The sequence below is a fragment of the Homo sapiens genome, chromosome 4, assembly GCF_000001405.40.
Source record: "Homo sapiens chromosome 4, GRCh38.p14 Primary Assembly".
Classification (NCBI taxonomy): Eukaryota; Metazoa; Chordata; class Mammalia; order Primates; family Hominidae; genus Homo; species Homo sapiens.
The window spans coordinates 148,523,140-148,531,034 of NC_000004.12; the positions used below are offsets into that span (position 1 = coordinate 148,523,140).

At 38.3% G+C, this 7,895-nt stretch overlaps 1 pseudogene; it reads right to left on the reverse strand.

The window, feature by feature from the left end:
- ASS1P8 (argininosuccinate synthetase 1 pseudogene 8) lies at positions 3,121 to 4,015 on the reverse strand (annotated as a pseudogene).

The window sequence follows — 7,895 nt, forward strand, 5'->3', positions numbered from 1 at the left end:
GTGCACTGCCTACTGGCGACACTCTCACACTGGATGTTCCCAGATAATCCCAAACACCACCTACAATGATAAGTCACATGCCCTTTTTCAGGGCCCGGTTCAGAATGGCCAAGTGCTACTGTGCCTGTTAGTTTGTCCATGGCAGCTGGTTGGTGCTATGTTTACATGCTGGTGTGTTTGCTGAAATTCTGCCCAATCTCTGAAGGTGGTGTTTTTTCAATCATAATTTCTAGGTCATATACTATGTATATGTTTAGGGCTTGCAGCAGAGAAGAATTCTTGATATTTTTATAGTTCTGAACTACCTTCTCCAAAATCCAACACCATTTTAGTATTACTCAGTCACCATGTCTCCATTCCAAATATTTTGATATCTCTTTTTTTGAAAGGAGGTAGCAAAATCATTTCTGTCATAGGTAAGTGTGTAGAGACCACTGGAATAAATCTGTGACATGTTCCTGCCAAGATGTGGCATATTAAAAGTTTAATTGAGATTGAATGAAGTCATTTTAAAATGAAGAGAATAGCAGCAAGTAATAAAATTATGGTAGTGTTTTCACACATATTCTGGTATTCATATATTCACAGGTCTACCTTTCACTTGCTGAAAAGGAAAATGGTGACTCTATCTGTGATGTATTAATTATATTTATGTTTCCTAGAACCACAAATTCAGGTTCAATTACACTTGGTTAAGTCTTACATCTTTGTTATAAATAATTTATATTTTCAAAAATTTCCTGGTTAGAAGTTTTGCATAACATTTGAAAGATGAACCTCTCTCTGTTTCATCCATGATTAAAATGCAGTGGAAATTTTCAGAAAGTTTGCATTCCATCTTAATGTTCGTGGGTAGAGTTTCTGGAATGCTGCTAAATATCTTAAGAAGTATTTCTTACAACATATTTAACCTTGTACATTTAGAAGAATTTAGCTTAGTGGCAGTATTAAATATTAAAAAAAATCATAGCTATAAAAATGTACCTTTATGCAATACTTGCGTTCTTGAAATTTTGCCTTTCCACATTTCTAGAAATAGAATATTTTTTGAATGACTTAAAACAATTTCAAAAATATATTTTCATACAGACTTATTTTTCAAACATTATAAAAGTAATCTTTCAGAAGGTGATGTCTCTTTTCTTCTTTGTGGATTTTTCTTCCAAACGTCTACAATAAATATGAATTGCTTTTGCTATGAGAAAACATTTAATTTCTTATAAATTTTAAAAATTTCAAGCAATCTAAATATCCAACATAAGACTAAACTGTTACATCTTCATACAGTGAATTAATATCCAGTAATTATGAGTTTTAATGGCAGAGGCTATTTAATGACACAAAATGTAAATAATATATCACATGATAAAAGCTTGTTGCAAAATAGAAAAAAAACAAATTTTGGAAAGAAAACAATACAAAGGTACACATAAATAAAGAAAAAATACACAATGAATTGTTAACTGTAGTTGTCTCAGAGTGGTAGAAAGGTGGATGATTTTGCTCTCTTTAAAACTTTCTACATTTTCCTAATTTCTCTGAGAATTATGTATTATTTTACATATAGGAAATACATATTTTAAAATAAAACAGTATATATGTAGTGCTTATATATACATCTTTTTTTTTTTTTCACCCAGGCTGGAGTGCAGTGGAGCAATCTCAGCTCACTGCAACCTCCGCCTTCTGGGTTCAAGTGATTCTCCTGCCTCAGCTTCCCGAGTAGCTGGGACTATAGGCACGCACCACCACACCCAGCTAATTTTTTGTATTTTTAGTAGAGACAGGGTTTCACCATGTTGGCCAGGATGGTCTTGATCTCTTGACCTTGTGATCCGCCTGTCTCAGCCTTCCAAAGTGCTGGGATTACAGACATAAGCCACTGCGCCCAGCCATATACATCTTCAAGAATTCTGTATTTTTGCAGGCATGACAAAGAGAGTGCAGCTGATCCAGGCACTGGGATTCGAACAAGCAAATTCACAGAAGTGTGAAAGAGGACATCACACTCAGTGAATGGCAAGCAAGTCTATAGTGCTGAAGACACATATGGGGCTCGATCGTATAAGAGGACATGAGCTATGCCAAGAAATTTAGTCTCTATGCAGGGTGACCATACAGACTTGTTTACCTCTGAGAGTCCCAATTTAGTCCTATTATGGCTGTATAATTGTTAATAACACCAAATTATCAAAATTGCCTGGATTCAGATGATAAATTAAGTGGTTACCTTATTTAGCCACTGGGAAACCACTGAAGAGTTATTACCAGGGGATTAACACAGCCAGACTTACATTCTGGAAAGAGATCTTGGCTGCATCCTGAAAAGTGCATTTTGGGGGGCTGCAGGACTATAGGAAGGAAGATCAGTTAGGATACTGTTGCAAAGTTTATGGGAACTAAGGCAGTAGCAGTAGAGTTAAAGTAGAGACAAGAAAGAAGATGCATATGAAAGAGCAGGTTTGGACATTCATATAAGATAAGTTTGAGGCATTTTAAGGTAGAAATGAGTTATTTTGATGCCGTTTGTAGAAGGTTCTAGAGCAGCACTATCCAGTAGAACTTTTGGCATTGATGGAAATGTTTTATGTTTGTTCTGTCCAGTATGGTAACCAGTAGCCACATGTGGCTAGTGAGGACTTCAAATTAAGTTTTAAGTTATATTAAGTATAATTAACTTAAATTTATCGAATAGCCATATGTGTCTAGTGGCTTTTGTATTAGACAGCACAGCTCTAGATATTTATCTGCTAGGATATGAGAGAGATCTGGGCTAAAGTGTAATTTTGTGAGGGATCAGTTAGGTGCTGACTTAATAGACGCATTGGCCAGCAGAGCTTGGATATTGAGAAAAGAGCAGGGTACCATATTTAAGGGATTGACAGAGGAGGAGAAGACTGCAAAGAAAGGCTAAAGATTAGTCAAAGGGCTGGGAGAAGGCCTAGGAGAGGAAGCTGGTTTGGTAATCAAAGAGACTGACAGTGTCAAGGAGTGCTTAACAGTGATGAAAGATTTTATGCTGTATGTACTTATCAAGTAAGATGAAGACACTTTGGAAATATTGAAGTAAAGAGGTTATAGAGGTAGAATTATATATATATATATATATATATGTTTTCATCTTTTAATTGTCATTTTATAGTTCCCCACTGCAGCTGCCCTCCATCCTTACTTTTGATGATGACATTTGCAGGCTTCAGGGGAACCAGGGAACAAAGCTGGGGCCTGGCAGCCCCACTACACTGCCAGCTGGGGAGAGCAAGTCACACTTACAAATTTCTCACAACAATTAGTGCCTGTACTTGGGGGATCTGCAAATATGAGGAGGCCCCAGCTCCTCATTGTACAGGGGTCTATTTGGCAGTGACCTTTCTCTGGAGATGATATTCCTTCAGCTTGAGGGAATTGATGTTGATGAACCCGGTGGAATCAATTGGCTCATAATCACCCTGCATGTTCATGCTCACCAGCTCCTTGTTGTAGAGAGACAGTGGGGACTCCCGGCTAAGGATGTACACCTGGCCCTTGAGGACAGACACCTGTACTTTCCCTTCCACTCGCTCCTGGGACTTGGCGATGCAGTGGTGGGCAAATTCACACTCAGGGCTGTGCTAGAAACCAGTATATATCAGCTCAGCAAATTTCAAGCCGAGGCCTGTTTGACTTTATGCACTTCCCAGTCCATGGTGAAGACCTTGATATCTAAATAGGTGTGGTAAAGGATGGTGCCTGCTGGGGTCTCATAGATACCTCGAGACTTCATTCTAATGCAGCGGTTCTCCACGATGTCAGTACGGCCCACACTGTGCTTGCCCGTGACTTGACTCAGGTACACGAAGAGCTCCAAGGAGGTCTGGTGGGTGGTGCCATCCTTAACGTTGGTCATCTTCACAGGGACCCCTTTTTTGAACTCGATCTCGAGAATCTCAGGGGCGTTGGGGGCATTGGCCAGGTCCTGGGTCTTCATGTAGAGACCTGGAGGCGGTTGGTTCTTGGTATTTTGATGGGCTTCAGCGTTGACTAAGAGGAGATATTGTAGGTGAAAACTTTTCTCTGAGAGTAAAGTTATACAGACTCTATAAAGGTTGAAACATGAAAACTCAGCCTCATTCTGCCACCTTCTACCATGCCCAAATCCTTAAGGAACTGCATAGCTGACTTGTTGATGCAGCTATTTTCCTAAGAATTGATGGCTTGTGCCAGCCAGGAAGGAAACCTCCTTCACAGATGCAAGGAACTGGTTTTTTCCCCCCTTTGGTGATGTAAGACAAGAACCTGGAAGTTTGTTCACCATTTCAGTAGGGCAACTGTAGTGAGGGGCCAGCAATGAAAGAAAGGTGGAACCCAAGAAAGGCAGACAGAATCAAAATATCCTCTGCCCTTCCCATTGCTAAATAAGAATAATTATTGAAGCAAAACTTACAGATGAAAGTTTTTTTTAGGAACATTAGGACTGGAAAGATGCAAACAGTTCTGTGTTGATCTGTAAACTTTCTTTTGGAGGGAGGGTCAATATGATGTGGTGGAATAAATAATTGAACTGGATTTCCATTCAGTAGACTTGAGTTCTAGTGTTGTTTCTATTGTTGATAAAGTAAGTGACCTCTGTATGCATGACACTTAATTATTTGGATTACAGTTACTCATAAAAGTAGATTAGTGTTCAAGTTTATGTTTTTTTAACTTTAAAACTCTATTAGGGTAAAGGCCAAGTTAAAATTATATCTAACATGCTAAAATAAATCTGGATGCATGAAACCCATGCCAAATTTTGTTGACCTGCATGATAAAATTTTACTCACTGTTTCAGTGGATGCATTTTAAATGGCTTTATAAGAAACCAGTGTTAAAATGGATAGTATGGAGATACACTGAGTTATGCAAAGTGAAGTAAAATATATAAGGAATTATTTTCAAATTATTTTTTTAAAGCCGCTCCACAAATAATGAGGTTGTTTCCAGGCTGAGAACCTGTATGACAAGTTTCAGTTCAAAGAAACTATTGAAGGTTTCTTAATGGTGCCTGGAGGGGTAGACAGTGTAGTAGGTTAAAGTATGCAATATTTTTAATCTTTGGTTTCAAATTTTATTCCATTTTTAAAAAAGAAAGAAAAATATTAGAGTTTTCCAGAGAAACAGAACCAATAGGATATATAGAGAGATACATAAGAGGGGGTTTATTATAGAAATTGGCTCACAGGATTATGGAGGCCAGAGGTCCCATAATTGACTGTCTGCAAGCTGGAGAACCTGGAAAGCTGGTGGTATAATTCAGTCTGAGTCTGAAGGTCTGAGAACCAGGTGAGCCAATGGTGTAAGTCTTGGAGTCTGAAGGCTAAATAACTTGGAGTTCTCATGTCGGAGGGCAGGAGAAAATGGACATCCCAGCTCCAGAAGAGAGAGTGAATTTGCCATTTCTCTACCTTCTGCTTCTATCTGGCTCTCCTCAAAAGACTGGATCATGCTCACCCATATTGGTGAGGGCAATCTTCTTCACTTGGTCTACTGACTCAAAGTCTCATTTATTCTGGAAACATCCTCACAGATACACACATAAACAATGTTTTACCAGCTATCTAGTTATCCCTTAACCCAGTAAAGTTGGCACAGAAAAAAAGATAAAGAAAGAAAGAGAGAGAAAGAGAGAGGCAGAGAGAGAGAGAAAACAGAAGGAAAGAAGGAAGGAAATTTGGAAAGAAAAGATAATAAATGAAAGGAGAATAAAAGACAAGAAAAAGAAAAGGAAGAACGAAGGGAAAATAAATTAGTTGTGTATTGTTGCAAGAAAACTTTGGCGTGGTAGAACATAATAACTAGAGTTTTAGTACTTAATCCTCCATTAACTATGTGACCTTGTGTACGTAATCACACATCTCCTGGCTTTTTCTCATCAGATGAGGGGTTTGAACCAGAATATTTTTAGAGTCCCTTCCAACTCTACAGTGTTACAACATTGACGATGTAACTCATATGGCCCAAGACTGTTGATTTGTGTTGTTCAGAAAATGCCAAAAAATAGTACAGTTATATGCCACATAGTAACATTTCAGTCAACTATGGATGGCATATATAACAGTGGTCCCATAAGATTACAATGGAGTGGTAAATTTCTATTGCCTAGTGATGTCATAGCTGTCATAATGTCATCATGCAACACCTTACTCGTGTGTAGTGATACTGGTGTAAACAAACCTACCATGCTGTCAGTCATATAAAAGTCTAGCACATACAATTATGTACAGTAGATAATTCTTGATAATAATAAACAACCATAGTACTGGTTTATGTATTTACTATGCTTTTTATTGTTATTTTAGAGTATCCTCATTCTACTTATATATAAAAAAGTTAACTGTAAGACAGCTTCAGGGAGACCCTTCAGGAGACATTCCAGAAGAAGGCATTGTTATCATAGGAGATGACAGCTCCATGCGTGCTATTGCCCCCATAGACCTTACAGTGGGACAAGTTGTGCAGGTGGAAGACAGTGATATTCATGATCCTGACCCTGTACAGGCTAGACATGTGTGTGTTTATATCTTAGTTTTTTAACAAAAAGTTTAAAAAGTGAAATGAAAAATTAATAGAAAAAAGTCTATAGAATAAGGATAAAAAGAAAGAAAATATTTTTGTATAGCTGTACAATGTGTTTGTGTTTGTTGTTGTTGTTGTTGTTGTTGTTTGAGATGGAATTTCGCTCTGTTGCCCAGGCTGGAGTGTAGTGGTGTGGTCTTGGCTGACTGCAACCTCCACCTCCCGGGTTCAATCGATTCTCCTGCCTCAGCTTCCCGAGTAGCAGGGATTACAGGTGCCTGCCACCATGCCCAGCTAATCTTTTGTATTTTAGTAGAGATGGGGTTTCACCATGTTGGTCAGGCTGGTCTTGAACTCCTGACCTCATGATCTGCCCGCCTTGGCCTCCCAAAGTGCTGGGATTACAAGCATGAGCCACTGTGCCCGGCCCAATGTGTTTGTATTTTAAGCCAAGTGTTTTTATGAGAGTTAAAAGTTAAAAAATTAGTTTATAAAGTAGAAGAGTTGCAGTAAGCTAAAGTTAATTTTATTGTTGAAGAAAGAACATTAAAAAATAATTTTACTGTAGCCTAAGTGTACAGGGTTTATAAAGTCTACAGTGGTGTAATGTCTTAGGCCTTCACATTCACTCACTGACTCACCCAGGGCAACTTCCAGTCATGCAAGCTCCATTCATAATAAGTGACCTATACAGGCATACCATTTAAAAATCTTTCATCCTGTATTTTTTTCTTTCTCTTTTTTTAAGAAATAGGTTTGGAGGTTTTTTTGTCCTTCAACTTTTAAGTTTGGGGTACATGTGCAGGATGTGCAGGTTTGTTACATAAGTAAATGTGTGCCATGGTGGTTTGCTGCACAGATCATCCTATCACCTAGGTATTAAGCCCAGCATCCATTAGCTGTTCTTCCTGATGCTCTTCCTCCCCACAACCCCTCCTCTGAAAGGTCCCACTGTGTGTTGTTTGCCCGCATATGTCTATGTGTTTTTGTCATTTAGCTCCCACTTATAAGTGAGAACATGTGGTGTTTGGTTTTCTGTTCCTGTGTTAGTTTGCTGAGGATAATGACTTCCAGTCCATGCATGTCCCTGGAAAGAACACGATCTCATTCCTTTTTATGGCTGCATAGTATTCCATGGTGTATATGTATCACATTTTCTTTATCCAGTCAATCATTGACAGGCATTTAGGTTGATTCCATGTCTTTGCTATCGTGAATAGTGCTGTAATGAACATATTCATGCAATGAAAATAGCATGTATCTTTATAATAGAATGATTTATAATCCTTTGGGTATATAACCAGTAATGGGATTGCTGGGTCAAGTGGTATTTCTGCCTCTAGGTCTTTGAGAAATCACAC